This window comes from Homo sapiens, chromosome 20 (assembly GCF_000001405.40).
Source record: "Homo sapiens chromosome 20, GRCh38.p14 Primary Assembly".
NCBI classification, from domain to species: Eukaryota; Metazoa; Chordata; class Mammalia; order Primates; family Hominidae; genus Homo; species Homo sapiens.
Genome location: NC_000020.11, coordinates 45,684,042 through 45,710,175, shown reverse-complemented (window position 1 = coordinate 45,710,175; position 26,134 = coordinate 45,684,042). Strand labels below are relative to the sequence as shown.

The following is a 26,134-nucleotide window of genomic DNA, read 5'->3' as shown; positions in this document are numbered from 1 at the left end:
CAAGCAATTCCCCTGCCTCAATATTTTAGCATTTTATCCTTTCTCATCTCATTAAAAGGTACTTACTTATTGAGCTCCTGCTATATTTCAGTAACTATTCTCAATGTTGGGTATATAGAAATGAATTAAAGTTTTGTCCTCAAAAGTTGTATACGAGTCTTGGCTGCAAGGCTGGGAAGCAGAACCCATGAACAAACAAGATTTCACCTTCAAAATTGTAAATTCCATTCCTAACACAGCCAAACCCACCTTTCCCAGCAAACCTAAAATTATGTTGGATTGTTGACTAAGCACTTATAGGAGGCAGTGACAGAGTACAAGAGTGCTCTCCAAAGGGCCATAGTCTTCATATTTATCTTCTTCCCAGGTGACAGCAAGAAAAAGTGACTCTTTTTTCATTGTGTCTCCCAAGTATCCTTATTGACTTGGTATAGCCCCTACTGAACTACTGATCTTTCACCATCTCTGCTGGGATGGACTGAGAAGAGAACTCCCAGCAAGAATTTGCAAGATATCCATAAGCATTGTTATTTTTTGAACAGTTTTATTCTGGCTTCATTGTGGCCAAATTCTTGTCTCTTAGCTTTTCATCTTTATTCACTCCCCTGGGGAAGAGTTGGACCTATCTATTAGAGCATCTTTTCCAAGATTCCCCATGCCTGTCACTTGTTCTTAATAAACTAAATAAACTCATGATTGGCTGAAACATCCCTTCAAGATTTCATCCTGGAGGGTCAGCCTGTCCTGTGTGGTTGTGTGTCAGGTACTTTCCAGTCCAGCCATGTTCCCTTCAAAGCAAGTTGATACTGCTGAGTTACTGGTTATTTAATTAAGCCTCCCAACCACCAGACTACAATCAAGAACTTAGTATCACAAATTACGTAAGGTAAGTGGTGTTATCTCTATTTTAAGCATGAAAAATTCAAGTTTTGAAGAATTTAGATGATGTGCCATAGTAGCACAACTATGGTTAAGTGAGAAGTCATGGTGTATAGATTATATTCACTGATGAAGGGGTGAAAATCCATTTTTCTTCTTCCTTAATGCCATTCCTTATATCTCACCCTTTGCAGTAAGTCCTCAAAATGTTAACAATAATCATAACCATTCATATTTCTGTCACAGTGCGTACAACATATTTTTATGCATATTATATTGTTTAATCTTTTTGTACAGTCTTGTGAAAATGAAGAACAATTGCTTATGCTGTTTTCCTAATGAGGAACACAAGGCTCACTGGTACAGAGTTGGAAGGAATGGAGGCAAGCAGAGAAAGGCCCAGGCTTTGTGGAGCTTGATGCTTGTATAATTATGGATACCTTGTTTTAGAAAAATAATGCAGAACTACTAATACAAAATTAGACACGTAAGTGAATATTTATTTGAAATGAAAAAGAAATTGCAACAAATTACAAACTTAACAAAAGCTTACGAATATATCAAATATCATGAATCCCAGGAAAATAACACTTTATTATTATTATTTTAAATACCTTTATAATACCTTTTTAATATTTTATGGCTGATTATTTTTGATTGTCTCTTCTTATGACTATAGTTTTTATATCATTTCTGTAGAGAGAACAGAAGGATAATTCAATCTTTGCTCTAGCATGGTTGATCAAAAATTTAAAGTTATTATTGGTAGTTTAGGAAAGATTATTTCCATTTCCATAACTTATCAGTAATGCCACACTGTCATGTCCTCTGCAGTTTCTGGCTCAGGTGGTGCTACATGCCGGGGGCAAGACCTTGGAGAGTTCTAGCCCTTTGATTTTGATTTCATGGCACCTTATTGCAGCCTCTTAGTCACTGATCCAACTCTATCAGGTCCTCACCACCCCCACTGTGCCTGTCCTGGGTTCATGATATGGCCATGAAGCCTTGAAGGCTGGCCCCAAGGAGGTTGCCATGCAGTGTCTGGTTGATATTTCTCCTTGAGGTTAAATATGGGATCAATTAGCCTGATGAGTGCAACCAAGGGCAGGTAATCAGTGAGGGTTGTCCAGATGTTGATGTGGTAGGTCCTTAAGACCACCACCAGGGCACACACAGCATCCCTGGACTGGAACAGTGCTGCTTGTCTCTATGCCAAAGTGGGGTTTCTGATTCCTCTCCTCATCCCAGGAGGAAACTGTGCTGAGCTTTGGAAGGGGCTCTTGCAAGTGTTGACCTAAAGCTTAAGCTTCAAGAGTTTTATGGTAGATTAGCCTTTATTGCCAAACTCAAAAACGATTTGCAGGTTAGATATTGGGCCTCCAGTTTCTTGCTTCTCAATACCTTCCTAAAGGTGGACCAAGAAAAAACATCGTAGAGGCCTGTGGGGAAGGAAAGATAATTAGTCCATTTATTCTTCTTGATTCTTTAAACATCCTTGGACATCATGTTGGGTCTCTAGAGAATTACTGTCATTGAACTGTCTGTTGTCAGGCTATGCTTAGGAACTCCTTAAAGAAATAGCCCCCAAAAACTTTTCCTGGAGTCTAACATGAGGCTGTCATAGAGGGTGTCCTCTGTCATGATCACCTTTAATTAGCCATCATTTTTTAGACATCAGCTTTATGTAGCTTAAAGCAATGCTTTCCATTAGAACTTTCTGTGTTCTGTATTTATAATGTGTAATATGGTAGCTACTAACCACATGTGGTTATTAAACACTTGAAATGGAAAATAAGGCTAAGGAACTGATTGAATATTTTATTTTATTGTAATTCATATGAATTAACATTTAAATAGCCTCTCGTGACCAGTGCCTACAGTATTGGATAGATCAAACTCAGATTATTAAAACAGTGATAGCCAACCTGTATGTAAGAGACCTGCCTCACTCAGGTCAACTCGAACCACATATGGTCAGTTTCTGGTAGTAAAAGAGTCTATAGATTTTTCTGAACAGTATTTCCTGCCCTGGATCAGGGGTCACTAGGTTATGGTAGGCCAAAGATAGGACACTACAAAAGACAAAGAGAGGGACTAATTCTGTCTGGAGTGAACTGGTGAAGTTTCTATGGAGTGTTTAATTTAATAGAAACCTTGAAGCATGAGTGGGAGCTCATCCGCAGCATGGTGGGCTCACCGGAGCCTGGGCAAGTGCTCATGCGTCTAAACTGCTCCACTGGCCTCCACCTGCTACTATTTATCACGCTCCTTTGTACAGGGTTAATAAAAGGACTAAGCTGAAAGACCACCATTCTAATTTGGAACATCTGGAGACATCAGAAGGCCCATTAGAAGACCCTAAACTTCTAACTTTTTCTTTCAAATACTCTGAAACGAAATCCACCAACTTATGAATACTATCATTTTTTTGGTGGTGGAATTCCACAGGACTCCATTTTGTTCACCATTCTTGAAGCATCAGTAAAATAATAAAGATGATTCCCACTCCCTCTTTTTTTTTTTTTGAGACGGAGTCTCACTCTGTCGCCCAGGCTGGAGTGCAATGGTGCACTCTTGGCTCACTGCAACCTCTGCCTCCTGGGTTCAAGCAATTCTCCTGCTTCAGCCTCCTGAGTAGCTGGGATTCCAGGTGTGCACCATCACACCCAACTAATTTTTGTATTTTTAGTAGAGACAGGGTTTCACTCTGTTGGTCAGGCTGGTCTTGAACTCCTGACCTCGTGATCCGTCCACCTTGGCCTCCGAAAGTGCTGGGGTTACAGGTGTGAGTCACCATACCCGGCCCACTCCCTCTTTTTTCAGAGAAAAAACTGGAACCTGAATGAGTGACCTTGTAAGTGAGTTGCTGGCAGTTTCTACCTTTGCAGAGACCAAGTTCTTCCATCTACATGGCCTTGTGTTGTCCTCCCAATACCCCAAGGCATGGATGTTTTCTTCATATTTCACATGAGGGAGGTGACTGTCTCAGAGAGGTACAGTGAGCAGACCAAAGTCTCAGAGCGTGAAGGGCTCAGCTTGAGTCCCTGCCCAGGGTGCTGTCAACCCGGAGGCTAGAAGAGCTTGTTCCTTGACAAAGCCTCAGATCTGAGTGCCCTGGGTTCCCCCTGGGCCATGACTTGGTTCCTTACATTGCTCTGTGTTGCAGAATTCATGCTGGACTGCACCGTGCCTCCCCCAGGGAGTGCAAAGATAGCCCTTGGAGGGGAATGATGGAGGAGGAGGCAATCAGGTAATGAGAGGCCATTCTGAGCTTGTGGGAATGTAGTGCCCCTGGTGAGGCTACAGGAAGAAAGTGAGCATCCCTGGGAATCTCACATGAGGAAGGCGAGACCAAATCCCTGTACTTACAAAATGATCTAGGAAATATGCCTCAGTTGGCAGGCATGATGACTTCTGAGCCCTTGTGTTTGATTCTGTAGAAGAAAAATATTTTCAAATATTAACTAGTGAAGTTTTACTTTTAGAGATATATATTTTTCTTTCAATTACTTCCACCATTAATATTAGACCATGAAGCTCATTTCTCTTGCCATAGGGAAGGCAGAACCTCAAAAAACTCAATGACACCAAAGAGTTATATTTATGCTTCTGCATTCCAATGTAGAGCATTGAAAGATGTGGAATTTAATTGCAAGGGCTAGTCTCTTCAAAGAGAAGTGGTTGCCTAATCCCCAAAATTCACAGCAATTATGTTGGCAAGTAATGTTTTAAAGCTTACATGGATTGTCTATTTTAACCTCACTATTATTGTTCCAGTCTTAAGGATGAGGAAGTTGATGCCCAGAGAGAGGTTAATTAGCTTGTCTAAGATCACTTAAGGTCACTTAGCTAAGAAGCCAGGATTTGAGCCCAGGTGTTTGGCTTTGAGCCCATGCTTAATCACTCTGCACATTATCTCATGCTGGGTATTCTGCTCATGGTAGGGAATACAGCAGGGAACAAGACTGCCAGGCTTCCCTCAAAGGGCTCATTGGTTGAGTCTTCCACTGTGAGTCTTTTGAAATTTCATATGGGCCTTGCAAAGCAGGAAAAAACAAGAGTACTTATTTTACTCATGAGAAAAAGAAAGTAAAAAAGAGGGAATTGTCTTACTCAAGGTCATAGAAAGACATAGTTGCAAGATGGGATTAGAAACCATATGTCTCATCAGCACCCTATGTCCTTTCTCTGCCCTGGGAGCACACTCCATTTAGCAGGCTTGCGGCTAGTGTTAATGTCTGGACAATTAATCAAAACTTCCTTTGGGCTGGATCTCCAGAGCCCAAGAACACTGGTGGCCAAAGGATGGTGTCTTGTGAAAGGAGGGCAAGCAAAAGTGTAGGACAAATTTTGCTTTGGGATTTTGGTTACACCTGCAGGTACAGTGTCCCTGGGATAAGGGTGGATTCTGGGTCGGGGGAAGGTCTGTGGATAAAGGCATTTGTGGGTGTGTTCAGAGAGGCAGAGTCAGAAATTCACGGATATGGTGATGGGATGTGGTGATTGGGAGGGGAGGAGGGCTTTTCTAATCAGGACTTTTATGGAAATTATCCTTGGTCAAGAGAAGGGGCATGTTGGCAACATGGCCACCAAGGAAAAAAAAAAAAAAGGAGAGATCCAGCACAGTTGCTGGTAAGGGACTCTTCTGCTGGGCTCCCACCAGCAGCTCTAGGATCAGACCTGGATATGAGATATCTCTTACCTGTTGCGCTTTTGAAATGTTTCTGATGAACAGACTATCCCACAGAAGGAGGAACAGCACTGAAATCCTTTCTCGCAATCTTCCTGCATTGTACACAGGTGAGTACAGTTTTCAGGTGCTGATATGCAGGGTGGAGGTTCCAAGATATACTCTGGAACACAGAACAAGTAAGAGAAGGGCCTCACCAACAGGCTGGAGTAATGTTCAGAACTCAGAAAGCCCAGGGAACTGCCAGGAAACCTGCCACCCTCATCTGCCTTGCATGGTTCCAGGGTGGTGGCATCAGGTTTTGTCCTCAGCTGCTGCCTTCCTCTGAGTTCTGAGCAGGGAAGCAGGGCATGGATATTTTTTGATCAAGAACAGAGTTTGGTAGAACCCTGCACCCATTGGTCATTCACCATCCTTGTAGTTCAGATGCCAAGCCCCCATTGACTATGGTTGTGTCCATATCAAGGGTATCAATGGTGTATGTGGTGAACAAGAAAGAGGTTTGTATGTTCGTTCTGCACTGATTCATTGTGTGGTCTTGAGCAAGTTGTAGAGCTTCTCATTAACAACATAGTTTACCCTGGGGTTAACCTAACATGGGTTATTTGTGTACAGGAAGAATGAGTGAAAGGTAAGTTTTGGTAAAGGATGAAGACCATGCATTAAACTGAAGGTACTGGATCAGAGAGCTGGGACCCAATTCACAAGTAAGTTCTGGGAGTGACTTCTTTCATGGTAAGAAGGGTGGGGATTTCAGAATGGCGTTCAAAGATTCAGCTTTTTTCTTCCTTGGTGTCTCTCGATCAGGAGGCCAGAGCACCAGGATGCCCCACTTTCTACTGTTAGAGAAGAATAAGCATCATTATGTTGACTTCCTATTTCCTCCCCTACCCCCAAGTATTTCAGTTCAAAGCTAAGACCTACCTGCCCTGGGAGAGTCTTCCCTAAGTCCACAACCCACAATCTCCTTTCTATTCCTGGACTCTAAAGATGGGCCCCATTAATCCCTTTCCCCAAGCCCTTCCAGGTCCTAATTTTTGTACCTTGTGATTCTCCCTTTCTTTGGGGGCAAAAGTCAAAAGTGGGGCATTCTATTGCAAATAGAGGAATTGTGGGTCTATTCCTCTGCAAATATTTGCAATTAGAAGGAAATCTATAGGATATTATGATGATTTGAAAGGAATGAATGAAGAAAGAGGTCATGACTATAACTGTAGTAGCAAATGGCACCAGAATTGGGGTAAAAGAAGCTGAGGTTCAAGCTGTTGACAATTTAACAGAGACCAATAACTAGTACTCACCCCTGGCCTCTCAGCTATTCTATAGCTCACTGGGGCACTGCAAGAAATTGGAACTAATCCACACTTTGAAGAGCTTGGGGCTCAACAGAGCAGTTTAGAGATAGACACCATGATCCAGAGATCTCAGAGAGGTCACCCTTTTCAAGTCTTGACCCCTCTTCTGGGTATCTGGTCCCAACTTCACTCACAGCATTTACCAGTCTTTTAGAAAGCCTCTTTGTGCCTTTCCTCAAATTCTGATTCTCCAATTAACTCTACCCTGGGCACTCCTATTTTCTTGTAGCTTGCTTAGTCCCTCTTAGTCCTACAAACCTGCATGCCTTTTCTGAAACTTCTTAAGCAGGACCTAGCCTCCCCAGACACATGAGCTACCACACTTATCCCTCTTCTGAGCCGCCAGTATTCTGAAGATGTTTTCCCCATAGAAGAGTGGATGTATGATGAATAACAGTTCTTTTCCCACTTGGTATTGGTTAAGGTCAACATTACTAGAGCCAGAGCTCTTTTGAGTTGAGCTGGGCAGTGGTGGCTGCTGAGATGGACTCTACACTGTCCCATTGATGCTAATTACCGGTAATTGTACAGTACCTCTGGAGTTTGAAAATGTGGAATAAAAGGCAAGACTTCCTTTCCCTCCTTCCCAAAACATCCTCCAAGGCCAAGGTTATGTAGATTCTAGCTTGAGTTCTACCAACTTCGTTGTCTCTCTGTTTTATTGCTTGAAAAGTGAGTCCAAGCATCCATGAAGGAGCCACGGGCAGCAAGACTAAGCTGGATGATGAGGCTGATCACATTTACAGCATTTAATATTACTGAGCATTTACCATGGTTTAGTAAGAGTGAGCTATGTCTGCATGCATTATCTGTTCTCCTCCTGTATTCATTATAAGGATAAAAACCTGAGGCCCAGATACTATGCCCAAGGTCACTCAGCAACAGAGCAGGGATTCAAACCTAGATCTTGCCAACAATAAAGCTTGGGCCCTTGAACATGACACGGTATTTTTCCAAGAGGTGTGACAGACTGTCAGCCCTCAGATCCTCTCCTATCCACACATGTTACTTCCCTCCTTGGGCCCAGATCCAGCACCTACTCAGAACACGCTGCTTGGGACTCCCAGGCACCAGCTGCAGTGCTAGGCAGAACACCACCAGGAACTGGAGAGGCAGCACAGGCTTCATGGTGTCAGTGGGATGGGTGAGTAAGTTCTGGCCAAGGGTTGCTGGGTTTGACCAGGCACTGCTGTGAGGAGAAGAGAAGGAAAGAGGGCAAAGTGGAGGCCCAGTGTGACTAGCCTTTCACCGTGTACTCCAATCAAAACCGGCAGGGCAGGAATCCAAGCACCTCCCAATCACACCCACTCCAGGGTCACGTAGTGTTTTCATATCCTCCTTTATTCCCCTAATCTTGACCTTGCTATCTCTTTCATCTGTATCTAGATCTTATTCATGTCCCTTAACATTTTTTTATAATTTTCCCCTGTGGAAATTGTACATGTTATATTTATTCACAGAGGATTGAATTTTTTTTTTTTTTTTTTGAGATGATGGAGTCTGGCTCTGTCACCCAGGCTGGAGTGCAGTGGTGCGATCTCTGCTCACTGCAGCCTCTTCCTCCCAGGTTCAAGCAATTCTTGTGTCTCAGACTCCTGAGTTGCTGGGATTACAGGCGTGTACCACCATGTCCAGCTAATTTTTGTATTTTTAGTAGAGATGGGGTTTCACTGTGTTATCCAGGCTAGTCTTGAACTCCTGACCTCAGGTGATCTGCCCTCCTCAGCCTCTCAAAGTGCTAGGATTACAGGTGTGAGCCACCGCGCCTGGTCTGAGGCTTGAAGTTTTTAAAAGGAAATTGTAAATGTTATCATAACTTTTCAACTAATTCCTTTTGTTTACTGCTAATGTAGAGAAGTTAACTTTCCAGTTTGCTCAAAAATCTCCACCATGACAATTATTTGACCTCACTGAAACCAATAAACATTGACTCTTCACTTCCCTATTTCGTAGTCCTCCCCTATAGGCGTTTACTTTTCTTTCTATCAATGTAGGACTCAGAACCTGTCATTTAAATCTCCTTGCTTGAATCTACCTACAAAAACTGCAACCCTGAATGAATCCAACCATCAATTTCATTGAAGCTTGAACCTAGGCAGATAATTGTTGCTGGGGGAAAATAACTCAACTGGGCTACTAAACAGCACAATAGATGCACCATCACCAAACCAAAAAGGGTCTGGCAATCTTACTAAGTTTCTTCAGTAAGCCAGTGTTCCCACTTTCTACAAATACTATTTCAAACTTGCTTTCCTCTCTTTAAAGCTTGGATCTTTTCTTCTTTCCACAAATTTGTAACTAGTTAGCTTGCTAAATTCTCCCATTGTTTATTATGGTTTCTTTGTGTGTTCTCTTCAGTGTTTATCATAGGCAAATAAGCAGTTATAGTTTTCTTCTTCAAACTTTATGCCATTTTTAATGCCTCACTGTGCTCGCTAGGCCCTTGAGTACATCATATGTAAGTGGTGATAGTGTGTATTTTTGTCTGATACCTGATTTAAAATGAAAACTTCTTGTTTCCCCTTTTAGAATTGTCTCCACTTTAGGTTTCTCATAAGTACCCTCTATCAGGTTTAGAAATTTTTCTTTCATTCCTAACAAGAAATTTTAAATTAGTTTATGTCAGATTATATGTATTGCTTTTTTCTATGTATATTGAGATGATAACATTTTTATATCCTTTAATCTGTTAATGCAGTGAACATTCAGATTTTCAAACATTAAGCCATTTCTATGGTAATATAAGGTGATCATTGAATATTATCATTTTTATATTGTTTGGTTTAGTTTGCTATTTTTAAGGTATTTTACATCTATGTTCATAATGAACTGGGCCTGTAACTTGTCTTTCTCATATTGTCCTTGCTTGGTTTCATAGCAAGTTTATGCTGACTTCATAGGATGTGCTGAGTAGCAGCCCTTCTTTATCAATTCTCTATAAATTCTTGATTTAAGATAATTAGTTACTTGAACTCTCAACTCTGTTTTTCTTGCACGAATATACCCATTTGCACCTTGTTGTTTTCATTTAACAATATATCCTGAAAACTGCTCTCCAGTAGTTCATAACAATTTTTCCTCTATTACAGCTGCATTTGACATACACCTTAGTCATATAGCCAGTCTCCTATATTTGGGCATTTAGGTAGTTTCCAAGATTTTGCTATTATAAATAATGCTGCAATGAACAATTATGCATAATTTTCTGTATTGTTGGAGGTATAATATCAGTAAATTTCTAAAAGTGTGATCATTGGTTAAAAGGATAAATGCACGGCTGGGTGCGGTGGCTCACGCCTGTAATCCCAGCACTTTGGGAGGCTGAGGAGGGCAGATCATGATGTCAGGAGTTCGAGACCAGCCTGGTCAACATGGTGAAACCCCATCTCTACTAAAAATACAAAAATTAGATGGGCGTGGTGGCACATGCCTGTAGTCCCAGCTACTCAGGAGGCTGAGGCAGAAGAATCGCTTGAACCCGGGAGGCAGAGGTTGCAGTGAGCCAAGATCAAGCCACTGCACTCCAGCCTGGGTGACAGAGCTAGACTTTGTCTCAAAAGAGAAAAAAGAGGATAAATGCACATATAGTTTGGCTAGATATTGCCGATTTCTACTTCATAAAGATTATACCTTTTTGTAATGCCACCAACAATGTGACTGTGCACGTTTCCTACAGTCTCACTAACAGAACGTGTTGTCATGCTTTTGAATTTTTTCCAAAACAATTGGGTAGGAAATGTTATTTCTGTAGTTTTTGAGGTTCATTTACTATGTAGCATGCACCAGTACTTCATTCCATTTTATGGGTGAATAATACTCCATTGTATATATATATATCACAATTGTTTATCCATTCATCTGTTGATGGACATTTCAGCTGTTTCCTTGCTTTGGCAATTGCAAATAATGCAGCTATGAACATTTGTAGATGAATATTTTTTTGAGTATATATTTTTAACTCATTTGGGTAAATATTTGGGAGTAGAACTGCTGGGTCATATGTTTAACTTTGTATGTTTACTTTTTTGAGGAAACTCCAAACTCTTCCCACAGCGGCTGAACAATTTAATACTTCTATCAGCTATGCACGAGGGTTCCAATTTCTCCACATGCTTGTCAGCACTTATTATTTTCCTTTTTAGAAATTATAGCCAGTCAAAAAATGTGAAGTGGTATCTCATGGTTTTTATTTGTATTTCCCTAATAACTAATGATGTTGAGCATTTCTTTCTTCTTCTTCTTCCCCCTCCCCCTCCTTCTCCTCCTTCTTCTTTTTTTTTTTTTTAGATGGATTCTCACTCTGTCGCCCAGGCTGGAGTGCAGTGGTGTGATCTCAGCTCACTGCAACCTCCACCTCCTGGGTTCAAGCGATTCTCCTGCCTCAGCCTCCTGAGTAGCTGGGATTACAGGCGCCTGCCACCCACACCTGACAAATTTTTGTATTTTTAGTAGAGACAGGGTTTCACCATGTTGGCGAGGCTGGTCTTGGACTCCTGACCTCAGGTGATCCACCTGCTTTGGCCTCCCGAAGTGCTGGGATTACAGGCATGAGCCACCGTGCCCAGCCGATATTGAGCATATTTTCATGTGCTTGTTGGTCATTTTTATATTTTCTTTGAAGAAATGTATATTCAAGTCCTTTGCCCATTTTGTAATTGGGTTTTTTTTTTTTTTTCTTCTTGAGTCATAAGAGTTCTTTAATATATTCTGGATACTCACCAGATAGATGATTTTTTCAAATATTTTCTCCCATTCCATAGGCTGTCTTTTCACTTTTTTGATAGTCATTTGAGGCACAAAAATTTTTAACTTTGATGAAGTCCGATTTTTTTTTCTTTTGTTACTGTGCTTTTGGTGTCTTTTCTAAGAATCCATTGCCCAATCCATAGTCATGAAGATTTACTTCTACATTTCTTCTAAGAATTCTGTAGCTTTTATATTTAAATCATTGGCTTATTTTTGAATCAGGAAGTGTGAATTCTACTTTTTGAAGACTGCTTTGGCTATCCAAAGCCTTGGCTTCGGTTCAGCCTTGCTGGGAAAAACATGCAACTGGCTGGGTCACACAGCCAACAAGGCACTCTCTGTTTTTCACTCAGAACGCACAAAATGGGGGAAATGGGAGACCCTACAAAGTACAACAATGAAAAGGCAGTTTTGTATGAACTCGAGGATCAAGTTTTCTGTTTCTCAAATAAAGAAAAATCCGGCCAGGTGTGGTGGCTCACACCTATAATCCCAGCACTTTGGGAGGCCGAGGCGGGTGGATCACCTGAGGCCAGGAGTTCGAGACCAGCCTGGCCAACATAGTGAAACCCCATCTCTACTAAAAATATAAAAATTAGCCAGGAGTGGTGGCACACTCTGGTAGTCCCAGCTACTCGGGAGGCTGAAGCAGGAGAATTGCTTGAACCTGGGAGGCGGAGGTTGCAGTGAGCTGAGCTCGCGCCACTGCACTCCAGCCTGGGTGACGGAACGAGACTCCATCTCAAAAAAAAAAAAAAAAAAAGAAAAAGAAATACCTGTTGGAACTTGATTGGAATTGCATTGTAATGCCGTCTTAATAATTTTAAGTCTTCCAATATAGAATATAGGATGTCAGCTAGGTGTGGTGGCTCACGCCTATAATCTCAGCACTTTGAGAGGCCAAGGCAGGTGGTTTGCTTGAGCTCAGGAGTTCGAGATCAGCCTGGGCAACATGGCAAAACCCTGTCTCTACAGAAAATACAAAAATTAGCTGGGCGTAGTGGCATGCGCCTATAGTCCCAGCACCTGGGAGATGGAGGTTACAGTGAGCCAAGATCATGCCACTGCACTCCAGCCTGGGTGACAGAGCCAGACGCTGTCTCAAAAAAAAAAAAAAAAAAAAAAATGATGGGATGTCTTTCTATTTCTTGAGGTCTTCTATAATTTCTTTCAGCAATGTTCTGTATTTTGTGGTATACAAGTCTTTTACCTCCATGGTTAAATTTATTTCTAGGTATTTTATCCTTTCATAGCCTGTTGTAAATCAAATTGTTTCCTTAATTTCCTTTTTGGATTGCTCATTGCTGGTGTTTACAAAAACAGCTGAGATAGTTTTACTTTCTTCCCAATTTGGATGACTTTTATTTCTTTTTATTACTTGATTGCTTTGGTTAGAACTCCATTACAATGTTGACTAGCAGTGGTGAAAGATGCATCCTTGTCTTATTTCTGATCTTGGGAGAAAGATTTTGATCTTTTGCAATTGAGTATAATGATCATTGTATATAGTTTTTTATAGGTACCTTTAATCATGTTAAGGAAGTCCTTTATTTCCTAGTTTTCTGAATTTTTTTTAATTATAGAAGGGTGGTGAATTTTGTGAAATGCTTTTTCTGTATCAGTTAAGATTGGAAAACTTTGAGAAGGATTGGTGTTAATAAAAAAATGTTTGGTATAGATTTTATCAGTGAAGTCATCTAGCCCTAGGCATTCTTTTTGTTGAAGAGAGTCATGTGTATTTTTCAAAAATTACTGATTCTATCTCTTTATTTGTTATAGGTCTGTTAATATTTTCTATTCCTTCTCAAGTCAGTTTTGGTGATTTGTGAGTTTCTAGGAATTTGTCCATTTCATCCAAGGTTATCTAATTTGTTGGTGTAAAATTGTTCATAGTATTCTCTTATAATTTTTTTAGTTCTGTAAGGTTGGTGGTGATGTCCCACTCTAATTTCTGATATTAGTTATTTGTGTCTTTTCTCTTTTCTTCTTAGTCAATCTAGCTAAAGATTTTCAATTTTATTGATCTTTTAAAAAAACCAAGCTTTGGTCTTGTTGATTCTTTTTATTGGTTTTCTATTTCCTATTCCATTTTTCTGTGCTCACATGTTTATTATTTCCTTCCTTCTGCTAGCTTTGGGTGTATTTGTTCTTCTCTTTCTAGTTTCGTATGATGTAAAGTTAGGTTGCAGATTTGAGATCTTTTTTTTTTTTTTTTTTTTTGAGACGGAGTCTTGCTCTGTCGCCTAGGCTGGAGTGCAGTGGCGCGATCTTGGCTCACTGCAACCTCTGCCTCCTGGGTTCAAGCGATTCTCCTGCCTCAGACTCCTGAGTAGCTGGGACTACAAGGCTCATACCACCATGCCCAGTTAATTTTTGTATTTTTAGTAGAGGTGGGGTTTCACTGTGTTAGCCAGGATGGTCTCGATCTCCTGACCTCGTGATCTGCCTGCCTCGGCCTCCCAAAGTGCTGGGATTACAGGCGTGAGCCACTGCGCCTGGCCGTGCTCTTTTTTAATGTAAGTATTTACAGTTATAGATTTTCTACCCTGAGAACTACTTTTACTGCATCTCATAAGTTTTTGGATGTTGTGTTTTGTGTTTTCATTTTCATTCATCCGAAAGTTTTTTTTCTAAGTAGTTGGGACTACAGGTGCATACCACCATGCCCAGTTAGTTAGTTTTTTGTAGAGACAGGGTCTTTTTATGTTGCCAGGCTGGTCTTGAATTCCTGGGCTCAAGTGATCCACCCACCTCAGCCTCCCAAAGTGCTGGGATTACAGGCATGAGTCAACATGCCTGGCTCAAATTATTTTCTAATTTCCGTTGTGATTTATTCTTTGACTCATTGGTTGTTTTAGAGTGTATTAATTTCACATTTTTGAGAATTTTCCAGTTTTCCTTCTCTTATTGATTTCTAGCTTTGTTCCATTGTGGCTGGAGAAGATAGTTTGTATAATTTCAATCTTTTAAAATGTATTTAGGCTTGTTTTGTGGCCTAACATGTAGTTTATCCTGGAGTATGTTCCATATGTGCTTGAGAAGAATATGCATTCTCTTCTTGTCTTAGGTCTGTCTTAGGTTTATAGTGTTGTTTAGTACCCTATTTCCTTATTGATTTTTCTGTCTACATGTTCTATTCATTATTGAAAGAGGGCCTGGAATGCTTTCCAACACCAACAACCAATTCTCCTATCTCTGGACACCAACTGGGTGTTCCAAAATTTAATTTAATTCTGACACTAACTACTTGAAGTTAGTGCAGACCCCACAGCTTATAGGCTTGATTTCACAAGACTACTCCCAACTTCAGGTGCCAGTTGCAAGTCTTGGGCCTCCTGCACTTTTGATCTACTGGCTATAAATCAGGGGCTCCCACAATCCCATCTGAAAGTTTGATAATTTGCTGAAACAGCTCACAGAACTCAGGAAACACTTTACTTAAGGTTTATCAGTTTATTATAAAGGATACAAATGAATAGCCAGATGAAGTAAATAGGGTGAGCTTCAGAAGGGTCCCAAGCACAGGAATTTCTGTCCTTGTGAGTTGTGTGTGCCACCCTCCTGGCACATGGATGTGTTCACCAATTCAGAAGCTCATCAAATCTTATTGTTTAAGAGTTTTTATAGAGCTTCAACTCCTTCCTTCTTTAACTTCCTGGAGGAGAGTGGGTGGGTCTAAAATTTCCAGACCTCTAATCACTTGACCTTTCTGGTGACCAGCTCCATCCTGAGGCTACCTAGGGGCCCCACTCCAAGTAACCTCATTAGCAGAAACTGAGGTGGAATCGAAAGGGGCTTCTTATGAATATCAAAAGACACACCCATCACTCAGGAAATTCCAAGAGTTTTAGGAACCTTGTGCCAGGAACTGGGGACAAAGACCAAATATATTTCTTATGATGCCATGGTGGGATATTGAACTCTCCAACTATTTTGTAGTGCTTCGTCTCCCTTCAATCCTGTGGTGTTTGCTTCATATATTTTGAAGCTCTATTGCTTGGTGTGTATATGTTTATAATTTTTATATCTTTTTGATGAATTGACCCTTTTATCGATATATAATCATGTTTTTTGTTTCTTTTAACAATATTTGACACAATGTGTATTTTGTTTGACTTTAATATAATAATCACAGCTCTTTTTGCTACTATTTGCCATATGCAGAAAATTGAAACTGGGCCTCTTCCTTATGCCTTATACAAAAATTAACTCAAGATGGATTAAAGGCTTAACTGTAAAACTCCAGACTATAAAAACTCTAGAAGAAAATCTGGGCAATACCATTCAGGACATAGGCATTGGCAAAGATTTCATGACAAAATCACCAAAAGCAATTGCAACAAAAGCAAAAATTGACAAATGGCATCTAATTAAACTAAAGAGCTTCTGTACAGCAAAATAGACTATCATCAGAGTGAACAGACAACCTACAAAATGGGAGAAAATGTTTGCAATCTATCCACCTGACAAACGTCTAGTATCCAGAGTCTACAAGGAACTTAAATTTATAAGAAAAAACAAACAGGAGGAGGAGCCAAGATGGCTGAATAGGAACAGCTCCGTTCTACAGCTCCTAGCGTGAGCGATGAAGAGGACGGGTGATTTCTGCATTTCCATCTGAGGTACCGGGTTCATCTCACTAGGGAGTGCCAGACAGTGGGCGCAGGTCAGTGGGTGCAGCGCACCGTGCGCAAGCCGAAGCAGTGCGAGGCATTGCCTCACTCGGGAAGCGCAAGGGGTCAGGGAGTTCCTTTTCCTAGTCAAAGAAAGGGGTGACAGACGGCACCTGGAAAATCGGGTCACTCCTACCCCAATACTGTGCTTTTCCGACAGGCTTAAAAAACGGCGCACCAGGAGATTATATCCCACACCTGGCTCGGAGGGTCCTATGCCCACCGAGTCTCGCTGATTGCTAGCACAGCAGTCGGAGATCAAACAGCAAGGCGGCAGCAAGGCTGGGGGAGGGGCGCCCACCATTGCACAGGCTTGCTTAGGTAAACAAAGCAGCCGGGAAGCTCCAACTGGGTGGAGCCCACCACAGCTCAAGGAGGCCTGCCTGCCTCTGTAGGCTCCACCTCTGGGGGCAGGGCACAGACAAACAAAGACAGCAGTAACTTCTGCAGACTTACATGTCCCTGTCTGACAGCTTTGAAGAGAGCAGTGGTTCTCCCAGCATGCAGCTGGAGATCTGAGAATGGGCAGACTGCCTCCTCAAGTGGGTCCCTGACCCCTGACTCCTGAGCAGCCTAACTGGGAGGCACCCCCCAGTAGGGGCAGACTGACACCTCACACAGCTGGGTACTCCTCTGAGACAAAACTTCCAGAGGAACGATCAGACAGTAGCATTCGCGGTTCACGAAAAACCACTGTTCTGCAGACACCGCTGCTGATACCCAGGCAAACAGGGTCTGGAGTGGACCTCTAGCAAACTCCAACAGACCTGCAGCTAAGGGTCCTGTCTGTTAGAAGGAAAACTAACAAACAGAAAGGACATCCACACCAAAAACCCATCTCTACATTACCATCATCAAGACCAAAAGTAGATAAGACCACAAAGATGGGGAAAAAACAGAGCAGAAAAACTGGAAACTCTGAAAAGCACAGCACCTCTCCTCCTCCAAAGGAACACAGTTCCTCACCAGCAATGGAACAAAGCTGGACGGAGAATGACTTTGACAAGTTGAGAGAAGAAGGCTTCAGACGATCAAACTACGAGCTACAGGAGGAAATTCAAACCAAAGGCAAAGAAGTTAAAAACTTTGAAAAAAATTTAGACGAATGTATAACTAGAATAACCAATACAGAGAAGTGCTTAAAGGAGCTGATGGAGCTGAAAGCCAAGGCTCGAGAACTACATGAAGAATGCAGAAGCCTCAGGAGCCAATGTGATCAACTGGAAGAAAGGGTATCAGTGATGGAAGACGAATGAAATGAAGCGAGAAGGGAAGTTTAGAGAAAAAGGAATAAAAACAAATGAACAAAGCCTCCAAGAAATATGGGACTATGTGAAAAGACCAAATCTACGTCTGATTGGTGTACCTGAAAGTGACAGAGAGAATGGAACCAAGTTGGAAAACACTCTGCAGGTTATTATCCAGGAGAACTTCCCCAATCTAGCAAGGCAGGCCAACATTCAGATTCAGGAAATACAGAGAATGCCACAAAGATACTCCTCGAGAAGAGCAACTCCAAGACACATAATTGTCAGATTCACCAAAGTTGAAATCAAGGAAAAAATGTTAAGGGCAGCCAGAGAGAAAGGTCGGGTTACCCACAAAGGGAAGCCCATCAGACTAACAGTGGATCTCTCGGCAGAAACTCTACAAGCCAGAAGAGAGTGGGGACCAATATTCAACATCCTTAAAGGAAAGAGTTTCAACCCAGAATTTCATATCCAGCCAAACTAAGCTTCATAAGTGAAGGAGAAATAAAATACTTTATAGACAAGCAAATACTGAGAGATTTTGTCACCACCAGGCCTGCCCTAAAAGAGCTCCTGAAGGAAGCACTAAACATGGAAAGGAACAACCGTTACCAGCCACTGCAAAATCATGTCAAAATGTAAAGACCATGGAGACTAAGAAGAAACTGCATCAACTAACAAGCAAAATAACCAGCTAACATCATAATGACAGGTTCAAATTCACACATAACAATACTAACTTTAAATGTAATGGACTAAATGCTCCAATTAAAAGACACAGACTGGCAAATTGGATAAAGAGTCAAGACCCATCAGTGTGTTGTATTCAGGACACCCATCTCACATGCAGAGACACACATAGGCTCAAAATAAAAGGGTGGAGGAAGATCTACCAAGCAAATGGAAAATAAAAAAAGGCAGGGGTTGCAATCCTAGTCTCTGATAAAACAGACTTTAAACCAACAAAGATCAAAAGAGACAAAGAAGGCCATTACATAATGGTAAAGGGATCAATTCAACAAGAAGAGCTAACTATCCTAAATATATATGCGCCCAATACAGGAGCACCCAGATTCATAAAGCAAGTCCTGAGTGACCTACAAAGAGACTTAGACTCCCACACATTAATAATGGGAGACTTTAACACCCCACTGTCAACATTAGACAGATCAACGAGACAGAAAGTCAACAAGGATACCCAGGAATTGAACTCAGCTCTGCACCAAGCGGACCTAATAGACATCTACAGAACTCTCCACCCCAAATCAACAGAATATACATTTTTTTTCAGCACCACAACACACCTATTCCAAAATTGACCACATAGTTGGAGGTAAAGCTCTCCTTAGCAAATGTAAAAGAACAGAAATTATAACAAACTATCTCTCAGATCACAGTGCAATCAAACTAGAACTCAGCATTAAGAAACTCACTCAAAACCGCTCAACTACATGGAAACTGAACAACCTGCTCCTGAATGACTACTGGGTACATAACGAAATGAAGGCAGAAATAAAGATGTTCTTTGAAACCAATCAGAACAAAGACACAACATACTAGAACCTCTGGGACACATTCAAAGCAGTGTGTAGAGGGAAATTTATGACACTAAATGCCCACAAGAGAAAGCAGGAAAGATCCAAAATTGACACCCTAACATCACAATTAAAAGAACTAGAAAAGCAAGAGCAAACACATTCAAAAGCTAGCAGAAAGCAAGAAATAACTAAAATCGGAGCAGAACTGAAGGAAATAGAGACACAAAAAACCCTTCAAAAATTTAATGAATCTAGGAGCTGGTTTTTTGAAAGGATCAACAAAATTGATAGACCACTAGCAAGACTAATAAAAAAAGAGAGAAGAATCAAATAGATGCAATAAAAAATGATAAAGGGGTATCACCACCGATCCCACAGAAATACAAACTACCATCAGATAATACTACAAACACCTCTACGAAAATAAACTAGAAAATCTAGAAGAAATGGATAAATTCCTCGACACGTACACTCTCCCAAGACTAAACCAGGAAGAAGTTGAATCTCTGAATAGACCAATAACAGGAGCTGAAATTGTGGCAATAATCAATAGCTTACCAACCAAAAAGAGTCCAGGACCAGATGGATTCACAGCCGAATTCTACCAGAGGTACAAGGAGGAACTGGTACCATTCCTTCTGAAACTATTCCAACCAATAGAAAAAGAGGGAATCCTCCCTAACTCATTTTATGAGACCAGCATCATCCTGATACCAAAGCCGGGCAGAGACACAACCAAAAAAGAGAATTTTAGACCAATATCCTTGATGAACATTGATGCAAAAATCCTCAATAAAATACTAGCAAACCGAATCCAGCAGCACATCAAAAAGCTTATCCACCATGATCAAGTGGGCTTCATCCCTGGGATGCAAGGCTGGTTCAATATACGCAAATCAATAAATGTAATCCAGCATATAAACAGAACCAAAGACAAAACCACCTGATTATCTCAATAGATGCAGAAAAGGCCTTTGACAAAATTCAACAACCTTCATGCTAAAAACTCTCAATAAATTAGGTATTGATGGGACGTATCTCAAAATAATAAGAGCTATCTATGACAAACCCACAGCCAACATCATACTGAATGGGCAAAAACTGGAAGCATTCCCTTTGAAAACTGGCACAAGACAGGGATGCCCTCTCTCACCACTCCTATTCAACATAGTGTTGGAAGTTCTGGCCTGGGCAATTAGGCAGGAGAAGGAAATAAAGTGTATTCAATTAGGAAAAGAGGAAGTCAAATTGTCCCTGTTTGCAGATGACATGATTGCATATCTAGAAAACCCCATTGTCTCAGCCCAAAATCTCCTTAAGTTGATAAGCAACTTCAGCAAAGTCTCAGGATAGAAAATCAATGTTCAAAAATCACAAGCATTCTTATACACCAATAACAGACAAACAGAGAGCCAAATCATGAGTGAACTCCCATTCACATTTGCTTCAAAGAGAATAAAATACCTAGGAATCCAACTTAAAAGGGACGTGAAGGACCTCTTCAAGGAGAACTACAAACCACTGCTCAATGAAATAAAAGAGGATACAAACAAATGGAAGAACATTCCATGCTCATGGCTAGGAAGAATCAATATCATGAAAATGGCCATACTGCCCAAGGTAATTTATAGATTCAATGCCATCCCCATCAAGCTACCAATGACTTTCTTCACAGAATTGGAAAAAACTACTTTAAAGTTCATATGGAACCAAAAAAGAGCCCACATCGCCAAGTCAATCCTAAGCCAAAAGAACAAAGCTGGAGGCATCACACTACCTGACTTCAGACTATACTCCAAGGCTACAGTAACCAAAACAGCATGGTACTGGTACCAAAACAGAGATATAGATCAATGGAACAGAACAGAGCCCTCAGAAATAACGCCACATATCTACAACTATCTGATCTTTGACAAACCTGAGAAAAACAAGCAATGGGGAAAGGATTCCCTATTTAATAAATGGTGCTGGGAAAACTGGCTAGCCATATGTAGAAAGCTGAAACTGGATCCCTTCCTTACACCTTATACAAAAATTAATTCAAGATGGATTAAAGACTTAAACGTTATACCTAAAACCATAAAAACCCTAGAAGAAAACCTAGGCATTACCATTCAGGACATAGGCATGGGCAAGGACTTCATGTCTAAAACACCAAAAGCAATGGAAACAAAAGCCAAAATTGACAAATGGGATCTAATTAAACTAAAGAGCTTCTGCATAGCAAAAGAAACTACCATCAGAGAACAGGCAACCCATAAAATGGGAGAAAATTTTCGCAACCTACTCATCTGACAAAGGGCTAATATCCAGAATCTACAATGAACTCTAACAAATTTACAAGGAAAAAACAAACAACCCCATCAAAAAGTGGGCGAAGGACATGAACAGACACTTCTCAAAAGAAGACATTTATGCAGCCAAAAAACACATGAAAAAATGCTCACCATCACTGGCCATCAGAGAAATGCAAATCAAAACCACAATGGGATATCATCTCACACCAGTTAGAATGGCAATAATTAAAAAGTCAAGAAACAACAGGTGCTGGAGAGGATGTGGAGAAATAGGAACACTTTTACACTGTTGGTGGGAGTGGCGATTCCTCAGGGATCTAGAACTAGAAATACCATTTGACCCAGCCATCCCATTACTGGGTATACACCCAAAGGACTATAAATAATGCTGCTATAAAGACACATGCACATGTATGTTTATTGCGGCAGTATTCACAATAGCAAAGACTTGGAACCAACCCAAATGTCCAACAATGATAGACTGGATTAAGAAAATGTGGCACATATACACCATGGAATACTATGCAGCCATAAAAAATGATGAGTTCATGTCCTTTGCAGGGACATGGATGAAGTTGGAAATCATCATTCTCAGTAAACTATCGCAAGAACAAAAAACCAAACACCGCATATTCTCACTCATAGGTGGGAATTGAACAATGAGAACACATGGACACAGGAAGGGGAACATCACACTCTGGGGACTGTTGTGGGGTGGGGGGAGGGGGGAGGGATAGCATTGGGAGATATACCTAATGCTAGATGATGAGTTAGTGGGTGCAGCGCACCAGCATGTCACATGTATACATATGTAACTAACCTGCACATTGTGCACATGTACCCTAAAACTTAAAGTATAATAATAATAATAATAATAATAATAATAAAAGAAAAGACAAGCAATCCCATTAAAAAGTGGGCAAAGGACATGAACAGACACTTCTCAAGAGAAGACATATATGCAGCCGATAAACATGAAAAAAAGCTGAACATCAGAGTAATGCAAATCAAAACCACGATGAGATACCATCTTACGCCAGTTACAATGGAGGTTATTAAAAAGTCAAGAAACTACAGATGCTGTTGAGGTTGTGGAGAAATAGGAACGCTTTCATGCTGTTGGTAGGAATGTAAATTAGTTCAACCATTGTGGAAGACAATGTGATGATTCCTCAAAGATTTAGAACCAGAAATACCATTTGACCCAGCAACCCCATTACTGGGTATATACCCAAAGGAATGGAATCATTCTGTTATAAAGACACATGCATGCATATGTTCATTGCAGCACTATTCACAATAGCAAAGACATGAAATTAACCCAAAAGCCCATCAATGATAGATTGGATAAAGAAAATATGGTACATATACACCATGGAATACTATGTGGCATAAAAAGGAATGAGATCATGTTCTTTGCAAGGACATGGATGGAACTACAAGCCGTTATCCTCAGCAAACTAATGGAGGAACAGAAAACCAAACACCCCATGTTCAAACACCCCATGTTCTCCCTTATAAGTGGGAGCTGAACAATGAGAATACATGGACACAGGGAGGTAAACAACACACCTTGGGGCCTGTCATAGGAGGGAGAGCATCAGGATAAATGGCTAATGCATGCTGGGCTTGATACCTAGGTGATGGGTTGATAGGTGCAGCAAGCCCCCACAGCACATGCAACAAACCTGCACATCCTGCACATGTACCCCAGAACTTAATATTAAAAATATAGCTCAATCATATAGAGTTTTGTGTAATGAATTGATAAGAATAATTTATAATTAGGCCGAGTGTGGTGGCTCACGCCTGTAATCCCATGACTTTGGGAGGTTGATACAGGTGGATCAATTGAAGTCAGGAGTTCAAGACCAGCCTGGCCAACATGGCGGAACCCCATCTCTACTAAAAATACAACAATTATCTGGGTGTGATGGCACATGCTTGTAATCCCAGCTACTCAGGAGGCTGAGGTGCGAATTGCTTGAACCTGGAAGGTGGAGGTTGCAGTGAGCCAAGATCACGCCATTGCACTCCAGCCTGGTGTGGAGTGAGACTCTGTCTAAAAAAAAAAAAAGAAGAATTTATAATGAACACATCCATTATATGCAAATAGCCACTTCCTAAAGGGGCTCATGATATGATTTCTGCTTTCACAACTGTGGAAATTGGAGTGTCTATCTGTAGCTACGTTCACCGCCCCCCCCCAAAAAAATTATGTCTTTTCTTTTTGAGAAATAATGACATTGTAAATATTTGCATGACTAAATAAAGGTGGCAGACGGTAGGTAACAAAAGATAGGTGATTCAAAAATGAGAAAATAAAAGATTGTTTACATTAAATATACAGAGGAACTAAAAGATAATGTAATAAAATATGGGTTAATTCTAAGCACCTTTTAAAAAATTATATTTCTTCTTTTCTTTTTTCCATAAAGCATTTTATAATTAGAAAGCAGAAATAAAGAGTACCTTTTGGAAAAGAAAAACTCTGTTAGCAAGAACACAGGACTGGTTATGTGATGTGAGAGGAGGCATCATTCCTGCAGAAGCCCTATCCTACATGGAGAAGGACAGGGCCAGGAGAAGGCAAGGGCAGGAAGCAAGGACTCTTGCTCTGCCCTGACTTGTCCAGTGGAGGCAGCGAGGAGCTGAAGATCATTCCTTCTTTATTTCCTTCCCTCTCCACAGGCAGCTCTGCAGGGAAGTCTGTGACTGCCTGGCCAGACTTAGGGCTCACGCTCTGGTCAGAGTTATGGCACCCCAGACTCTGCTGCTTGTCCTGGTTCTCTGTGTGCTGCTGCTGCAGGCCCAGGGAGGATACCGTGACAAGATGAGGATGCAGAGTAGGTGATGGGCTGCTGGATGGGTGATGGAGAGTTGGGTAGGGGGAATGGAGGAGCTGTGTCCAGTCTGAGTAGGACCTAGGACTTGCAACCTTTCTGCATATCCAGCTCTGACCACAATGCTGTGCAGACTCTGGGCTGTCCCAAACCATGGCCCTCCAACCCCTTTACCTGGCCCTGGGAATAGTAGTGGGAATGAAGGGGGAACCTACATCTTTTGTTGTTTGCTCCCAGTACTTAGAGACAAATGGTACATCCCATAGTGAAAGGTGAACCAGGGCTGAGAATCCAATGGGAAAGCAAGACAATTATTCTTTGATTTATGCACATTTGTGAGGAGTGAACATCTAGAAGTGGTTATGAGGGTAGGTGTAGGTGTAGAAATGGGTATAAGTGTAGGGTAAAAAGGACATAAGCAATGAAAAGTTGGAGTATACAGGGCAAAGTTAAGTATAACATCAAAGGAGCCAGGAGAGTGGTGGTGGGAAGCGATACTAGGGACAGTGATGGAGAGGAGAGGAGAAGGAGGGATGAGAGGCAAGTTCATCTTCTTTTCTGGGCTCTGCAAATTCTGGAGACTAGGGGAGGGTTTGGAAATGTCTCAGGCTTCTTTGAGCTCTCAGGGTCAGACCATAGATTCTATGGGGGTGACTTCACCATGATTAATGGGGAGACAGAGTTCTGAATGCAGGTGTATGGCGAGAGTCCAGGAAGCCCAGGCATTGAAGTCTACTGGGGTGAGATGCAGGGCAGGGAGACAGGATTTAAGATACTGCCAATCACTAGGATTGGTGATGGGCTGGAAGGAAGTTCCCTGAAGAGTCCAGGAGAGTCGTGGTGGCAGGGGTGCCTTGGTTCTGGGGCCATGGAGGAGCTTCAAGCTTGAGAAGGCTGCTCTATAGGTGCATGGTTTCATTGACCCTGCTCCTGCATCATTTCAGGAATCAAGGTCTGTGAGAAGCGACCCAGCATAGATCTATGCATCCACCACTGTTCATATTTCCAAAAGTGTGAAACAAATAAGATATGCTGTTCAGCCTTCTGTGGGAACATTTGTATGAGCATCCTATGAGTGGGAGAGTGGGCTGGGATGTGCATCCTGCTCCCTGAACCCTTCCATCCGAGACTGTGCCCACATCCGAAGCACAAGGACATCAAATCATCAGCACAAGAACATCAACAGGAATGCCACCCTCCCCAGTGTCTGAACTCCCTGTCCCTGTCAAATAAACCAGAACAAATGCCCATGGATCCTGCCTCTTTTGCTGCCACTACAGGTGATCATTGAGAGCCCACTGTAGCCCCCAAAGATGCCCCACTCATCTTGTGTCCTGGTGTTTGATTTCTCTCCCTGGCTATGCTTCTCTACCCTCCTTCTCCTTCTTTGGCCCATGTATCCCTCCCAGCCCTCAGGATGCCCAGCCCCTTGCTGTTTTGCTCACTGAACCAGTACTCCCAGGGGGAGGAACTGCTCATGTGCAGCGTCTCCTGATGCTAAGGAGAACATTTCTCACCCTGGAGTCAGAAGGACCCATTAAGCACGAGATGGGTGGCAGTTAGAACCCAAGGTAAAGAGTGGGAGGCCCCCAAGCACTGCTTTGGTCTCCTTAGCCTTGGTACTCCCCCACCTCATGCTCCCCAATCTCTTTCTGAGCTTCAGATTGCTGTCTCTTTACAATGAGGATAATGAGTCCCAGGAAGGCCAGCGACATGCCTAAGGCCACAAGAGAGAGAGAGGATATGATGTGGCCGGAAGAGGATGTTTCCTCTGAGCTCACTTTTTCTCACTTCTCTCCATTACTTGAGACCAGAGGCATCCTAGTGAGAGTGAGTGCCTGCACCAACCCCAAAGCTCCTCCT

General features: G+C 41.7%; 2 protein-coding genes and 1 non-coding gene across 4 annotated transcripts; 2 read left to right on the top strand and 1 right to left on the bottom strand.

Annotated features, from left to right (window-relative positions):
- Nucleotides 1-1,358: 1,358 nt before the first annotated feature.
- WFDC13 (WAP four-disulfide core domain 13) lies at nt 1,359-8,138 on the bottom strand. The gene is made up of 4 exons (NM_172005.2): nt 7,965-8,138; nt 5,582-5,732; nt 4,249-4,313; nt 1,359-2,318 (listed from the first exon to the last, which is right to left on the bottom strand). Exons 1-3 carry the CDS (start codon nt 8,050-8,052, stop codon nt 4,271-4,273), a joined length of 282 nt encoding a protein of 93 aa, NP_742002.1. The 5' UTR covers nt 8,053-8,138; the 3' UTR covers nt 1,359-2,318; nt 4,249-4,270.
- MIR3617 (microRNA 3617) lies at nt 4,996-5,074 on the top strand. Its single transcript, NR_037411.1, has one exon. It is a non-coding gene; the product is annotated as a microRNA 3617 (primary transcript).
- Nucleotides 5,157-25,525, top strand: WFDC10B (WAP four-disulfide core domain 10B). 2 transcript variants are annotated; one of them, NM_172006.2, is made up of 4 exons: nt 5,157-5,258; nt 5,615-5,679; nt 24,120-24,274; nt 25,216-25,525. In NM_172006.2, exons 3-4 carry the CDS (start codon nt 24,184-24,186, stop codon nt 25,344-25,346), a joined length of 222 nt encoding a protein of 73 aa, NP_742003.1. In that variant the 5' UTR covers nt 5,157-5,258; nt 5,615-5,679; nt 24,120-24,183; the 3' UTR covers nt 25,347-25,525. The 2 variants fall into 2 exon arrangements, with proteins under 2 accessions (NP_742003.1, NP_742143.1); NM_172131.2 differs by lacking the exon at nt 24,120-24,274.
- The last annotated feature ends 609 nt before the right edge of the window (nt 25,526-26,134 follow it).